The sequence below is a fragment of the Homo sapiens genome, chromosome 1, assembly GCF_000001405.40.
Source record: "Homo sapiens chromosome 1, GRCh38.p14 Primary Assembly".
Lineage (NCBI taxonomy): Eukaryota > Metazoa > Chordata > Mammalia > Primates > Hominidae > Homo > Homo sapiens.
This window is the reverse complement of record NC_000001.11, coordinates 16,171,901-16,187,216: the sequence shown is the minus strand read 5'-3', so window position 1 is coordinate 16,187,216 and position 15,316 is coordinate 16,171,901. Positions and strand designations below refer to the sequence as shown.

Sequence of the window (15,316 nt, the reverse complement as noted above, 5' to 3'; positions counted from 1 at the left end):
TAGCTGGGATTACAGGCATGCACCACCATGCCAGGCTAATTTTTGTATTTTTAGCAGAGATGGGTTTTTGCCATGTTGGCCAGGCTGGTCTCGTACTCCTGACCTCAGGTGATCTACCCACCTCGGCATTCCAAAGTGCTGGGATTACAGGCGTGAGCCACTGCCCCGGATATGCCAAGTTCTTGACTGAATAAGGGGACAATAAAAATCACCGCCACTGTGCACTGAGTGTTGTTTACCACTCCATTGGCACCAATTATGCCCTTTAATCCTTGTAACTCTGCTAGGAGCAGGTTCTGTTCAACTCAGCCAAACTTTACTAAGAAGGAAAGGGAAGCTCAGAGAGGAGAAGTGACTTGCCTGAAGTCACACAGCAAGTAAAAGGCAGAGCTTCTTTGAAACCAGACCCACCAGACCTAGGCCTACTCCCCGAAGCCCTTGACTATCACAACTTCCCCGACCCTAGCTCTGCAGCGATTCCAGCTCAAAGTGTAAGCATGTTCCCCAGCCCCCAGGATTCTCACAACAGCTTGAGAGGCTGGAAGTGAAGACACGGAGGATGTGCCAGTGCTGTACCCGAGCCCACTCAGACGGGCTCTCAGGAGGAGCTCTGCCCAGGCCGGGCACAGTGGCTCACACCTGTCATCCCAGCACTTTGGGAGGCTGAGGCAGAAGGATCACTTGAGCTCAGGAGTTTGAGACTAGCCTGGGCAACATAGTGAGACATCATCTCTAAAAAAATTTTTTTTGACAGGGTATGGTGGCTCATGCCTGTAATCCCAGCACTTTGGCAGGCCGAGGCGGGCAGATCATGAGGTCAGGAGATCAAGACCATCCTGGCTAACAAGGTGAAACTCTGTCTCTACTAAAAATACAAAAAGTTAGCTGGGCGTGGTGGTGGGCGCCTGTAGTCCCAGCTACTCAGGAGGCTGAGGTGGGAGAACGGCGTGAACCCAGGAGGTGGAGCTTGCAGTGAGCCGAGATCGCGCCATTGCCCCCCAGCCTGGGCGACAGAGCGAGACTCTGTCTCAAAAAAAAAAATTTTTTTTTAATTAGCCAGGTGTGGTGGTGAGTGCCTGTATCCTAGCTACTCAGGAGGCTGAGGTGGGAGGATCACTTGAGCTTGGGAGGTAGAGGCTGCAGTGAGCCATGATCACTCCACTGTACTCCAGCCTGAGTGACAGAGTGAGACCCTATCTCAAAAGAAAAAGAAAAAGAGGCCAGGCACGGTGGCTCACACCTGTAATCCCAGCACTTTGGGAGGCAAAGGCAGGGGGATCATAAGGTCAGGAGTTCGAGACCAGCCACAGTCAACATGGCGAAACCCCATCTCTACTAAAAATACAAAAAAATTGGCCAGGCACGGTGGCTCACGCCTGTAATCCCAGCACTTTGGGAGGCCGAGGCAGGTGGATCACGAGGTCAGGAGATTGAGACCACAGTGAAACCCCGTCTCTACTAAAAATACAAAAACTTAGCCGGGCGTGGTGGCGGGCGCCTGTAGTCCCAGCTACTTGGGAGGCTGAGGCAGGAAAATGGCGTGAACCCGGGAGGCGGAGCTTGCAGTGAGCTGAGATCGCGCCACTGCACTCCAGCCTCAGTGACAGAGCAAGACTCCGTCTCAAAAAAAAAAAAAAAAAAAATATTAGCCAGGCGTGGTGGTGGGGCACTGGTAATCCCAGCTACTTGGGAGGCCGAGGTAAGAGAATCGCTTGAACCTGGGAGTCGAAGGTTGCAGCAAGCTGAGATCGTGCCACTGCACTCCAGTCTGGGCGACAGTGCAGGAGTTTGTCTCAAAAAAAAAAAAAAAGAAAAAAAGAAAAAAAAAGAAAAAGACTAGTTCTTCCCAGCATTGCACTAGGAAATTCAGGCTGGGTGCTGGAAGCGGCCATGGTGACAGTGAATATTGCACCTGGAAATCAGCTCCCGCACCCCTGCCCTGGAGTCCGCTGAGGCCTGGATTGGGAAGAGATAGGACCGAGAGGCCCAGGGGCCCTCCCTGCTTCCCCACCAGGCTTCAGCCCCTCAGCCAGGCCCTGCTGATGCCTCTGCTCTCCCTTGCCTGGGTGTGGTGTGTGGTGATGAAATTGGTGGAGGCTGAGCCCCAGATCCTATTATCCCCTCCAGGGTGTGACAAGTGTCTGTGACTGGCCCTGCTGGGACCTCCCCCAACTGGATCCTGAAGACAGGGGGTGCTCCTGAACCCATTCCGTATTCTTGACCCCCCTCTGGGCAGCGGGATCCTTCAGACCAGATTCCATGGAGGCCCTAAGCTGTGCCCCGTGGCAGAGTGGCCCTGATACCTCCCAAAGAAGAGTGACAGCAAGTGGTGTCACATAGACCTGCCTCAATGCTCGTCTACACCTGCCCCTTCAGGGTGGGGCAAAACAAGGCTCTGCAGACAGCAAGTGGGGACATGCCCTGAGAGGCTGTGCTGCTTGGCTGAGGTGGTGGCTGGCAGCACTGGTCATGCAGAGCCTTGGTGGCACCATGGACTCAGCCCACAGCTGGCTCGGACTCCTGGATCCGGTGGCTTCTGGGGTCTGGGCAGGTGGTGGGAGGTTCGGGGGGCACCTGGAGCTAAGTACCTGTACACTGGCTGTGGGGAGCTGCAGGGCAGGACAGGGTTCCCACACACCCTTTTCCCAAACAGGTGCCTCCCTCCGACACCCACACTGCGTCTACTGTTTTCCAGGAAAAGGCCGATGCACTCGTTGAGTCAGCAGATCGAGGCTGCTGTCACCCTGGCAGCTCCACAGGGTGAGCCTGTTGCTCGCAGGGCCCAGCAGGGCCTGCCCAGGAGTCCCAGAGCTGGCCGGGCTCCCGTTACCTGCCCTGTACCATTGTTCCTGCCTGGCGCTTGGCTCTGCCTCTCTGGCTGTCCTCTCCTTCTCCACCCTCTGGCCTAAACATTACCTTATGCCCAAACCCAGCCTCTCTCCAGTTCCACAAATGTCAAACTGGCTCATCCCTGGGGGTAGGAATCAGCAAGAGAAGACCTGGATTGGAATTCCAGGACCACACTGACTGGCTGTGTGGCCTTGGGCAAGTTCCTTTACCTCTCTGAGCCTCCGTTTCTTCATCAATGAGAGGCAAGTTGTCCTCCCACCATGTCATGCTGTTGAAAGGAATCAAGTGCCCAGCGCAGTGCCCGGCCTGCAGGACGTGCTCAAGAAATGGCTTTTGCAGAACACGACAGAGTCTTCCCCAGCGGGACCTGTTCTCCCAGGGCCTGTGGGGAAGGAAATGGCGGGATCTTCTGCTCAGCCATCTTACATTAATCAGCATGCAGTCATCATGTTCACACCAGCTCTAATTGTTAGCTGCTGAAATGGGCTCGAGCTTTGGGGCTCTCACCTCAGCCAGCCCGGGGCTCCAGGCTTGGGCGGAGCTGGTGCATGGAGCAGGTCTGGGGCTCCTGGCATGAATGAAGCCTGAAATGTGGACAGGTGCAGTCGGGATGTGGGAGAACCCAGCCTTGGGCAAGTCCCTTTACCTTTACTCAAAGAGGGGAGTGGGTGAGGCTGCCCGGGGTGGGGGGCACTGGCCGGGCACCTGCAGGTGGGGAGGCCTGGCCATCTCTGGAGCAGCTCCGGTGATGAACTCTGGTCAAAGAACTCGTCCTAGAGGGTTTGTCCCACACCTGCTTCTGGTCTTAGCACGTGACCCCTGCTCCAGATAGGTCCTTCTTGTTTGTTTTGGGCTTGAGAGGAATTAATGAAATTGTTAGGGTAATTGGCAGCACGGCGGGCACCATCCAAGACTGGCAAAGGGGGGCTGGGAGGACCGAGAGGAGAGAGCCGGGCACACGGGGATTGCTTAACAGATGACGGTGAAGAGGGAGGGGTGTGTAAGTGGCGGATGGCATGTAGGAGCGAATCAGTGAATGAACAGTGAGTGAGTGAGTGACTCAATGAACGCGTAAGCTGGAACCTCAGTAATAGCATTGGCCAACACTCATGTAGTTCTCACTACATGTGCAACGTCGTTCTAAGCACTTCACTTGTAAAACTCATTCAGTCCTCTCAAAAACCCTGTGAAGGAGGCACTATGATTACCTCTGTATTTTTTTTTTTTTTTTTTGAGTCTCACTCTGTTGCCCAGGCTGGAGTGCAGTGGCGAGATGTCAGCTCACTGCAACCTCCGCCTCCCGGGTTCAAGCAATTCTCGTGCCTTAGCCTCCCGAGTAGCTGGGATTACAGGTGCCTGCCCCCGACACCCGGCTGATTTTTGTGTTTTTAGTAGAGACAGGGTTTCACCATGTTGGGCAGGCTGGTCTTGAACTCCTGACCTCAAGTGATTCGTCTGCCTTGGCCTCCCAAAGTGCTGGGATTACAGGCGTGAGCCACCACGCCCGGCCGATGACTACACTTTACAGAGAAGGGACCAGAGGCACAGAGAGGTTAAGTAACTTGTCCAAAGTTACACAGCTGGGAAGTGACTGAGTTCAGACTAGAACCCCGGCAGGCTGGCTCCGTAGTCTCCAGGTACCAAGCACCTTCAGGATCATGAAGAGAGTTCAGAGCAGAGGGGATAGGAGGATGGACTCTTCTTTTGCAGTCTCGGCCTTGAGACTCCAGGCTTCATGTCATTCAGTCTGTCATTCATTCATGCTGCATAGTCGCTGGTCAGCCGCTTACTCACTCATGCACTCACTGAGCGCCGGCTCTGGGAGTGTGAAGGGGGGAGACTTGTAAGATTCTGTCCTCCCCGGTCCTAGTTTACCTTTCAGGGCTCAGTTCAATGCCACCTCCTCCAGGAAGGCCACAGGGCTCTAGGCTTCCCCTGATCTCCCCAGCTAGGCAGTGCTTATATTCTCAGTTTTTGGAATACCATGGGTGCTCAATAAATGCTTGAGGCGGCATCCTGTTGCTGCTGAGCCTTCTCCTGGGGTCTCGTGGCTTTCCCAGCTCTTTGTCCCTTCCTGTCCTCACCCCAGCCAGGATGCTCCCGTATCTGGACAGAGCCTGGATCCCCCCACACCTCCCATGACCTTCCCATCCCACCAGCGGAGTGGAAACTCCCCGAGCACTGGGTCCAGCCGGGGGCCATGGTCAGCAGCACTGGGATTCACCCCTGCCCTGAAAGGGAGGGACCTGGGCCCGCCCGGGCTCAGCAGCCAACAGCAGCCTCTTCCTTCCCTGGCGAAGTGTTTGTTTTCAAATTCCTGAGGCCTGTGTCACCCCCAACCCTGTGTCCGCTGGCCCAGGCTGCCTCTGCTTCCTTCCTCCCCTTGCCGGACCAGGCTGATCTGTGGGGTGGGGTGCTGGGCCAAGCCTCTCCCTCCCATTGCCCACCAGCTAGGGCCAGAGCCTCGAGCTGGCTGACTGGAGAGCTCCAGAGGTTGGTAGGACATGGGATAAGGGAACTCAGGACCCCTCATCCCAGCCCCTCTGGATAGAGCAGGGAAATTCCAAGTCTTTTTGCTCTTCAGGGAACAGTGCAGGCTGGCAAAGAATCATGGGCTGGTAGCCGGAAGTAGCTATCTTCATCCCAGCTATCTTCTGGGTTAGCTGGGATGGGGAAGTTCTGAGCAGGGCACATGCCCCTAAGCAGGCCTGGTCTGGGCCCAGAAGGCCTGGTGCAGGTCAGACTTCATTCAAGCTCTCTTCCTGGCCGGGAGTCTTTTTTTTTTTTTGAGACGGAGTCCCGCTCTGTTGCCCAGGATGCAGTGCAGCGGCGCGATCTCGGCTCACTGCAACCTCCACCTCCTGGGATTACAGGCGCCCACCACCACACCTAGCTAATTTTTGTATTTTTAGTAGAGACGGGGTTTCACTCTGTAGGCCCGGCTGGTCTCGAACTCCTGACCTCAAGTGATCTGCCCGCCTTGGCCTCCCAAAAGAGCTGGGATTACAGGCATAAGACTTTGCATCCAGCCAGCGCTGGGAGTCTTGAACAACTAGGGCAGTGGGGTGGGTTTCAAACTTGACCTCATGTGCATCAGAATCAGCTGGGGTGTGTGGTGAACGGGCAGACGCCCAAGCCCTGGCCTCGGAGATTCTGATTCAGTGGGTCTGGGATCCCAGGGATCTGAAGTTTTGGCTTCCCAGGTGATTCTGCTGCCAGAGGCCCAAACTGTGGAAAGCCAACACTCAAGAACGTGAATAACACACAGCCAGGCCCAGCTCTCCCACTCACATGCTGCTGACCTTTTAGAGCTGCACTGGCCAGTTCGGTAGGTACTATTTAAATCTAGAGGCCGGGCGCAGTAGCTCATGCCTGTAATCCCAGCATTTTGGGATCCAAGGTGGGTGGATCTCTTGAGGTCAGGAGTTCGAGACCAGACTAGGCAACATGGTGAAACCCCATCTCTACAAAAAGCACGCAAAAAATTAGCTGGGTGTGGTGGTGTACACCTGTAGTCCTGGCTACTCAGGAGGCTGAGGTAGGAGGCTGGCTTGAGCCCAGAAGGCAGAGGTTGCAGTGAGCTGTGATTGCGCCACCGTACTCCAGCCTGAGTGACAGAGCGAGACTCTGTCTCAAATAAACAAATAATTAATTTAAATTAATTAAAATGAAATAAAATTAAAGTCAGCTCTTCAGGTGCACCAGACGCATCTCAAGTGCTCAGTAGCCGCGTGCGGCCAGTGCGGAGCAGATGTAAAACGTTTCTATCCATTCATCATTCCATCCACAGCAAGTTCTTCTAGACTGCTGTTCTCCAATGTCAGTTTCACAGAGGCAGAGACCTTTGTCTGCTGTGTTCATTGCTATATCCACAGCATCTGACTCATGCCTAAAACACAACAGGGGACCAGTAAATCTTTTTTTTTTTTTTTTTTGAGATGGAGTCTCACTCTGTCACCCACCCAGTCTAGAGTGCAATGGCACAATCTCGGCTCACTGCAACCTCCACCTCCCGGGCTCAAGTGATTCTCCTGCCTTACCCTCCCGAGTAGCTGCACCACGGTGTGCAGCACCACGCCTGACTAATTTTTGTATTTTTAGTAGAGACGGGGTTTCACCATGTTGGCCAGGCTGGTCTCGAACTCCTGACCTCAAGTGATCTGCCTGCCTCAGCCTCCCAAAGTGCTGGGATTATAGGTGTGAGCCACCATGTCCGGCCCAGTAAATCTTTTTCATTTGTGTTTTTATGGTGGTAACATATATGTAACATAAAATCGACCATGTTAAGCGTTTGGAAGTGTACAGGTCGGTGGCATTAAGTGCATTCACATTGCTGTGCAACTTTTCGCCACCGTCCATCTGCAGAACTTTTTCATCATCCCAAACTGAAACTCTACTCAACAAAAGTTCCCCATCAATCAATGTTTTCTGAACAAATGAATAACCTTGGCTGGGCGCGGGGCTTACGCCTGTAATCACAGCACTTTGGGAGGCCGAGGAGGGCGGATCACCTGAAGTCACGAGTTTGAGACCAGCCAGGCCAACATGTTGAAACCTTGTCTCTATTAAAAAAAAGTACAAAAATTAGCCAGGCGTGGTGGTGGGCGCCTGTAATCCCAGCTACTCAGGAGGCTGAGGCAGGAGAATCACTTGAACTCAGAAGGTGGAGGTTGCAGTGAGCCAAGATTGCACCACTGCACCCCAGCCTGGGCGACAAGAGTGAGACTCTGTCTAAAAAAATAAAATAATAATAATAATAATAATAAAAAAAAAACCTTGGTCAAATCACTTCCACTCTCTGGGCTTCTGGGCTTCAGGTTCTTCATTTACAAAACGGGTAGCACATGCGTTCCCACCCGGCAAGTTCTTTGCAAGGATTAAATAAGATGAAGCATGTGTTTAGCACAAGCCCTGGCACACAGCAAGTGCTCATCAAATATTAGCTGTTCCTGTGTTATTATTACCTCATCAGGAAGTCTTCCCTGAACATTCCACACCTCCTTGTTTTCTAAACTCTGCAAGACTAGAGCGCACCTCATTCAAGGCAACAGAAACAGAGTCCGCTGCTGCCGGTGTGAATCACGTGGGCGCGTTCTGTCTCCAGGGCGTGAACTGTTGCTGGTCCTTTGTGTGTCAGCTAGCCTAGTTCCTCAGCTAGCCAAGGTTCCCCAGCCCCGATATCCCGCAACAACCCCCTGAGATGGGGAAAGGAGTTGGAAGGAACCCTTATGTGGGTGCCATTGTACAGATGGGAACGCTGAGGCCCATGGTACCGAGGAAGCCAGTGCCAGAGCCAGGACTCAAAGCAGGCATCCCGACTCCAGTATCCTTCAAAAACACCACCCAGCACAGGGGAGCCGCTAACTGAAGGAATGGGTGGATGGATGAATTAAAGTAGTCAGGCTGAAGGGCCCCATTTTGCAGCTTTGAAGAAACAGGCTCAGGGAGGTTAAGTGAGGCGCTGGGTAAATATTTATGGAATTGATCATACGTGGTCAGAGGGCAGGGCACGCTAGCCAGGGGCTCTGAACCTGTAGTACCTTTAATCCCTGCCCCCAAGGGACAATCAGGACAGTTTCTTGCCCTGGACAGGAAGTTGTCATGATGGGGTAGAAAGAGACGCTAACTCTTGGCCTCGTGAGGGAAGGAAGGCATTTCTTTGGCTTTGGTGTCAGACAGGCTCAGATCCATCACAGGTCCTGAGACACAGGAGGAGTCTTGCTAAGCTCTTAAACTTTCTAAGCTCCAGACCCTTCTGAGACGCTATAAATGCTGTGGCCTCCAGCCAGTGGTGAGCTGGTAAATGTTTAACAACCTGCTTTCTAAAAGGAAAAGAGAAAAAAAAATGAAAAGGGTAAAAAGAAGGCCAGGTGTGGTGGCTCACGCCTGTAATCCCAGCACTTTGGGAGGCTGAGGCAGGTGGATCACTTGAGGTCAGGAGTTCGAGACCAGACTGGCCAACATGGTGTAACCCCGTCTCTACTAAAAATAAAAAAAATCAGTCAGGCATGGTGGTGGGCACCTGTAATCCCAGGTACTTGGGAGGCTGAGGCATGAGAATTGCTTGAACCCGGGAGGCTGAGGTTGCAGTGAGCCGAGATTGAACCACTGCACTCCAGCCTGGGCGACAGAGTGAGACTCTGTCTCAAAAAAAAAAAAAAAAAAAAGGAAAAAGAAGAGTGTCACTGCTGATTGCTGTGGTGTAAATACTCCCACTACAGTTGACTTCAAGCAACCAATGAAACTTGGCTTGCAAAATGCATGAAAATGGAACAATCTACTCTCCCTGAGCCTGCAAGAGCCAACTGGGCGAGCACACCACTCAGTGTAAACTCAGGCAAATGCTTCCTCTTTCTGTGCCTCATTTTCCCTATCTGTAAAGTGGGTGGTAATGGCTGCTACCTTCAAGGCTCTTATAAGGAGTCATTTCCATGTTCCAAACTAGAGGTGGCAGGATCTTCAGGGACTGGTGAGGACAGGAGAAGGTCACATTTTGCAGCCCTTGGAGGTGTGTCAGGGGATGGCAGAAATAGGGCTGGTGCCTCACCCTTCATAGGCTCCTGGGAGCATGTCTTTCTTTCCCTACCAGCAGAGGTGACCATGTGGCTCCCTGCCCTTCTCTTTGGGCCACTTTCAGAAGCCAGGCAGTGGGGAGGTCGGAGTAGCCAGGTGCTGGTGACAGAGTTTGCCCAAATCTGGAAAGACAGTCTCCCGTGTCCCCACCTTACTAATCCCGCACACTTACCCTGACTTTACTCCTGGGGCTGTGGGAGACAGGGGTGGAATGGGCCCCTGACACGCAGGCAGCCCCTCCTATCCCTGCATGAATCCTGGCATGACCCCGGACACCCAAGAAAGTGCACCTTTGACAATGGTGCACCAGGTCATGGTGGCACCTCTCCCCTTGGTGGTGGCATCTGGGGCCCTTGCACACAGGGGACAAGGAACCTGAAGTGAAGGGGAGTTGACCTATTGAGGCCACACTGAGGACAGTCCCTCTCACTTTGGGAGAGGAGATGGCACTCCTGGTCTGATGTTCCAGAATTCCTCTCCATGGAAGGAGAGGAGAACACCATAACATATTAGAGCAGAGAGGGGATCCGCGGCAAAGGCAAGGCTTCTGTTACAAAGATGGGGAAACTGAGGCCAGCCAGTGGAAAAGTCATATTCACAGTCACACAAGGACTCAGACGTCGAGCTAGGACCTGGGCCCAGTGCATGGGTGGCCAGTCTCTCTTCTGTATCTCCTGACCTTGTGATCTGCCCACCTCGGCCTCCCAAAGTGCTAGGATTACAGGCATGAGCCACTGTGCCTGCGAGTCTCTCTTCTCTCTTCTCTACTGCCTGGCAGAAGGGGCTGAAAGGTGGGGGCCCAAAAGCTTGTCTGTCCTGGGGGAGGGGTGACCAGCCAAGGCAGGACATTTTCCAGGGGGACCCTTGTGCTGGGTGACCACCTTAGGGGAGGGCACATCACTTCCTAGGAAGCAGACCACCCCTCTGAAAGACGCAGGGACCTGAGAAGTGTGGTGACTGTGGGTTTGGGGGTGTCAGTAATGTCACTTGGGAGTGGGGGACCTGGGTCGGCCTGGCTTTGCCCCTAACCCTCCGTGCGGTGTTGAGCAGGCCATGGTCCCCTCCTCGGCGCCAGTCTCTGGCTGTAGATGGGTGGTTTGGGCCAGACCAGTGTTTTAAAACTTGTCTCAAGCTGCAGAATTATTTTCTAGATGCTTAGTAGAGAAAACAGACACAGGAAGGGCAGATGCAGGGGCAGTGGGAGCTTGGAGGAGGAGGATGGAGGAGGATGGAGCATTTGGGTCCTGGAGCCTCCGCTGCTAGACACCCCCTCCCTCCCCTGGAGCGGCAGACCCCCGACATAGGGCCGTGGCACGCCTGGGGATTTTATGGCAGGGGCCCAGGCCACACCCCGAGGGAGGAAGTCTGGTACCTCTCCTGACTCCTGAAAGCTGCGGAAAAAGAAATAGAGAAAGAGACAGAGAAATCAAGAGATAGGAAAACAAAGAAAGAATGAGAGAGAGAGAGAGAGAGACAGAGGCAGGGACAAATAGAGGAAGACAGAGAGAAAAACAGAGAAAGGGAGGTACAAAAAAGAGAAATATTCCATGATGAGATGGAGAGAGATAGGGAGAGAGGGAAGGGGGAGAAAAAAGAAACACATGTTTCCACTCAAAGTTCTTTTTTGTTTAAAATAAAACCAACCCAACAATCTCTGCTGCTGACAGTTGGCCGGAGCCCAGGCCCCAGGCGGAGTGTGACCGCGGGCCTCCTGGCACCCGGCCTGGAAACTCAAGTCATCACCGCCTGGGCTTTGCTCTCCGCAGCCTCTGACACGGTGACTTGTCCCCAGACACTGGCTCAGGTCTGAGGGTCACAGGAGAGACCCCCGCACAGGCAGGGCCCCTGAAGCCTCTCCCAGGTCCCCTGAGGCTCCTACCCACTACGGGAGCCTTTTAGCAATTCTAGGCTGGGAGCAACCAGCCACCATGAGGCCCGAAGCAGAGGGCCAGGCAGGGAACTGTGGCCAGGAGGAGGGCCTGCCTGAGCAGCGACAGGAGCAAGCTCGGCTTTAATTTGAGACCTAATCAGCGGGGGCTGGCATCCACCCCCCCTCCCCAACCAGTTGCGGAGGCCCCTCCGTTCCTGCTCTGGAGAGACACATCCCGGCCCCTGCTGCCCCAGGCCCAGGGCCCCTGAGGTGGGGACTGTGGAGGGTGGGATGGGAGGAAGAGCAGGCCCACAGGAGTCATAGGCCTTGCCTCCCAGCACACCTGCCAGGCCCGCACCGAGCCCCATCCCACCCCCTCCCACCCCCTCACATATATTTTACACTCAGTCCCAAGATTTGTTCTGGCCTAAGCCCCACATACCCAGGCAAGAAAGAAGCTGGTCTAATAGCAGCTGCAATTGTAGAGCACACAGGGCCCCAGGGCCTGCCGCGTGCTGAGTGCATCATCTCATTCAAGCATCCCGCATCCCGAGCGACTCTAATGTCCACTTTACAGATCATGAAACTGAGGCTCCGAGGGCTTAAAACACTTGCCCAAGTCTCATGATGAGTAGAAGGTGGGATCTGAACCCAGGTTTGCTCGCCCACCATAGCTCCACACCCGGAGGTAGTGGGGAGCTTCTGGGGTATGGGGCCAGCCCCGGCACCCCAGGGCCCATGGAGGGAGTGCGGCCCACCCCTCAGGCCCAGGCTTCCGTCCCTTCCGGAGCTGAGAGAGGCAGGCCTGAGAACAGCTGATCCCCCGGGTTTTGTTCTTGGCACAAAGGCGCCCGGATCCAGGCTTAGCAGTGAATGGCGAGGGGCCCACAGCCCCCTCCCTCGGGCAGGCCTGGCAGGCTCAGCCCCTGCCTGCTTCCCCGCAGCCCATGAGCCCTCAGCTTCCTATTCAGAACCCCGGCTCGGCCACCCACAGGAGTATCAAAGGCTGGCAGATCTGTGGGGATTAAAGGAGGCAGTGAGGGGCTGAGAGCTGGGGGCACGCATATGTGACTCCCCTTTTCCGAGAACCTACTATGTGCTGGGTAGATAATAATGGGAAAGACCAGAGAGGGGAGGGGACTCGCCCAAGGTCACACAGCAAGTCAGACAGAATCAGGGTGCAAATCCAGATGGCCCTGCTCCCAGCCAAGGCCTGTTTTCATCAGACAAGTTTCTTCTGTGCTTGGGACACCCCTGTCCTGTGGCCTCTTCCTGGGATGAAGAGACAGAGAGAAAAAGACAAAGGCAGACAGAGAGAGGAGAACCTGGCCAGGCCAACACAGAGGGAGGGAGGATTCCCTGGGGGAGGCTCCTCCCCTGACTGCCTGATGGGGTTGCTGAGGGCCAGGGCTGGAAGGATGCAGGTCCTGGCCTCCCTCCCTGCCCCATCCCCCGTAAATGCCTGGTTGGCTTGAGGGGCAGAGGACGGGCAGGGTTCCCCACTTGGATGGAGCTCCAGGAAGTGGGGAGACGGAGCCCCGAGCAGGAGAACTGTGGAGCCTCCTGCACCAGGTCTGGCCCTGGCTGGTGGGAGTAGAATCTGGGAGTCCTCACCGACCTGGGGTGCAGACTTGCCCAGGGGATGGGAGAGTGCGGGTCTGGCTAGTGAGGCTCTGGGTGGATGGAGAGGAGGGCAGGCATGATGGGCACTCAGCCCCTGGGGCCTATACCTGCTGTGTGGCCTAGGGGAGGTGCAACTGCCTCTCTGGGCTTCAGCCCCATTCTAGGGCCCAGAGCCAGAAGACCCCCTGATTCTATTACAGGGGTGAGGGTCTGCTTCACGGAATCCTCACGGTGAGGCAGGCTGATGCTGAGCCCCAGACGGGCGCACTCTCGTTCAGTCCTCCCCATAAGCCCACCAGAAGGCTACCGCTATTCTCCCTTCACCTTACAGGTGAGGAAACTGAGGCTCAGAGAGGCCTTGTTCAAGTCACATGGCTGGTACAGATTTCAAAGCCTCATGACCTCACTCCATCCCCCTGCCCCAGGACACTGGGCCCTGACTCCTGGCTCCCTTCTACCTGTGGCAAGGTAACAGAGGCAGGTGTCTACCTGCCCCCCACCTGCCCCCCAGTCACAGGCACGGTGCCACGGCACCCCCCAGGAATGTTGCTGCATTCCTGTGGCAGGGGTGTGGTTGCCGTGGCTCTGTTTGCCCGAGGCCTGGGCTGTTCCTAAAGCAAGCCCTATCCCCAGGCGCTGAGTCAGCAGGCTGGGCAGCTCTGGCACTCCCAGCAGAGCCCGACCCTCACCAGGAAGGTGGTGGCAGGACCAGAGGAGGAAGCTCCATTTCCCATGAAGGAGGGAGGGGTGCCTGGGGCAGGAGTGGGACAAAGGCTGGGAGTAGTGGGGGAAGTCAGGCCCAGGGGTCCAGAGAGGGGAAGGGAGATCCCCCAGAGAAGCTGGGGAGCTGAGTGAGGATTTCAGACCTGAAGGAAGGCGACTGCTTCGCTGAGCACTGTCTGTGTGCCAGTCCCTGTGTCGCTGCTTTGTCCAGCCGCCTTATCTCATATAATAAAACTGACTCACTCTCCTCAGCCTCTGTCTTTCATAAGGGGAACCTGAGGTGTGGTTAGTTCTTCCGCAAAAGAAGGACACAGACAGGCCTGTGACGCTCAGAAAGGCGCTGTATGCCCCAGTGGGAATGGTGGGGACGCAACTCCCCCACCCCTCCTCTGCCAGGCCGGCTCTATGAGCCTGGACTCCTGCTCTGGGCCTCAGTTTCCAAGCTCTGCTGGGGTTGGCCGAGAGGAAGAGGCCCCGTGAACTCCTCCTCAGGGCTGATACCCTTCAAGTGACCTCGGCTGGCCTCACCCACTCGGGGCCAGACATTGATCTCCTAGCAATCCGAAGGTGGAGGGTGCCTCCATGCTCAGATTCCTTTTTCTTTTTTTTTTTTTTTTTTTTTGAGATGGAGTCTTGCTGTTGTTGGCCCCAGCTGGAGTGCAATGGCGTGATCCTGGCTCACTGCAACCTCCACCTCCCGGGTTCCAGCAATTCTCCTGCCTCAGCCTCCCGAGTAGCTGGGATTACAGGCGCCCACCACCACGTCCAGCTAATTTTTGTGTTTTTAGTAGAGACGGGGTTTCACCATGTTGGCTAGGCTGCTCTCGATCTCCTGACCTCATGATCTGCCTGCCTTGGCCTCCCAAAGTGCTGAGATTACAAGGGTGAGCCACCATGCCCAACCAGATTCCTTTTTCATTATGGGCCATGCCCTTGGCCTGCCGCCCTCACTCCACTCCATCCCCTGCCACTTAGAGATGCCGAGGCATAAGGCAAAGAAAGGCACACCCCAGGAGAAACAGTAGGGTGGAGGGCCCAGGGCCAGGAGGGGCTAGGGACGGAGGGGGCCTGGGTTGTTGGCCTCCTGGTGCCAGCTCTGCTCCCTTCTGGGTCTTCCCAGGAACGGAATAGGCAGGTTTGGGGCACTGGATGCCAGGTTGGGAAGACGGGTGGAGCCGGGTGGGGCATGGGGGTCAGGAGGCTGGGAGTTTCGATGGCGGGTTTTGGCGGTTTTTGATAAGAGAACCAAGGGGTGGTCAGAGTCCGTGGGAGACAGGGCTGAATGGGGTGGGGTGGGAGGGGGCAGTGATCCAATTCCTGGCCAGCCAAGCGCTTCTGCCCCACTGTCCAGGGCCTCTGCCCAAGTCTCAGGACCAGCTGCTCCCGGCCGTGGCTGCCCTTGCAGGTTTACAGTGGGGGAGACTCCAATAGATGACATGGATCTGGGGACTCGGGGCTGAGAGGCAGTGTCTGTTGTGCTAATGCCCCTCCCTCGGAGACATTCACCGTAGAGCTGCTGGACTGAGCTGAGGTCCCAGTCTGATGGGGGAAGGTCACCTCTGCCCCGGGAATATCCCACAGCCTCTGCCCTCAGGGAGCTCCTAGTCTGATAGCAGAGGCCTGGCCTCTGTCCTGCTGAAGCCTCCACTCTCATGGGGAAGCCACAGCCTCTGCCCT

At 55.4% G+C, this 15,316-nt stretch overlaps 5 annotated features.

The window, feature by feature from the left end:
- Positions 1,926-2,425: an enhancer, noted in NCBI's record as "H3K4me1 hESC enhancer chr1:16511287-16511786 (GRCh37/hg19 assembly coordinates)". NCBI's record gives its function as "activates a minimal SCP1, AML or CMV promoter by ChIP-STARR-seq in naive H9 embryonic stem cells {active_cell/tissue: H9 hESC(naive)}" and the evidence as "EXISTENCE:reporter gene assay evidence [ECO:0000049][PMID:30033119]".
- Positions 2,426-2,927: an enhancer, noted in NCBI's record as "H3K4me1 hESC enhancer chr1:16510785-16511286 (GRCh37/hg19 assembly coordinates)". NCBI's record gives its function as "activates a minimal SCP1, AML or CMV promoter by ChIP-STARR-seq in naive H9 embryonic stem cells {active_cell/tissue: H9 hESC(naive)}" and the evidence as "EXISTENCE:reporter gene assay evidence [ECO:0000049][PMID:30033119]".
- Positions 3,018-3,517: an enhancer, noted in NCBI's record as "H3K4me1 hESC enhancer chr1:16510195-16510694 (GRCh37/hg19 assembly coordinates)". NCBI's record gives its function as "activates a minimal SCP1, AML or CMV promoter by ChIP-STARR-seq in naive H9 embryonic stem cells {active_cell/tissue: H9 hESC(naive)}" and the evidence as "EXISTENCE:reporter gene assay evidence [ECO:0000049][PMID:30033119]".
- Positions 4,345-5,325: an enhancer, noted in NCBI's record as "H3K27ac-H3K4me1 hESC enhancer chr1:16508387-16509367 (GRCh37/hg19 assembly coordinates)". NCBI's record gives its function as "activates a minimal SCP1, AML or CMV promoter by ChIP-STARR-seq in primed H9 embryonic stem cells {active_cell/tissue: H9 hESC(primed)}" and the evidence as "EXISTENCE:reporter gene assay evidence [ECO:0000049][PMID:30033119]".
- Positions 10,989-11,283: a silencer, noted in NCBI's record as "tiled region #6356; HepG2 Repressive DNase unmatched - State 4:PromP, and K562 Repressive DNase unmatched - State 8:EnhW". NCBI's record gives its function as "represses a minimal TATA promoter and a strong SV40 promoter by Sharpr-MPRA in HepG2 and K562 cells {active_cell/tissue: HepG2 | K562}" and the evidence as "EXISTENCE:reporter gene assay evidence [ECO:0000049][PMID:27701403]".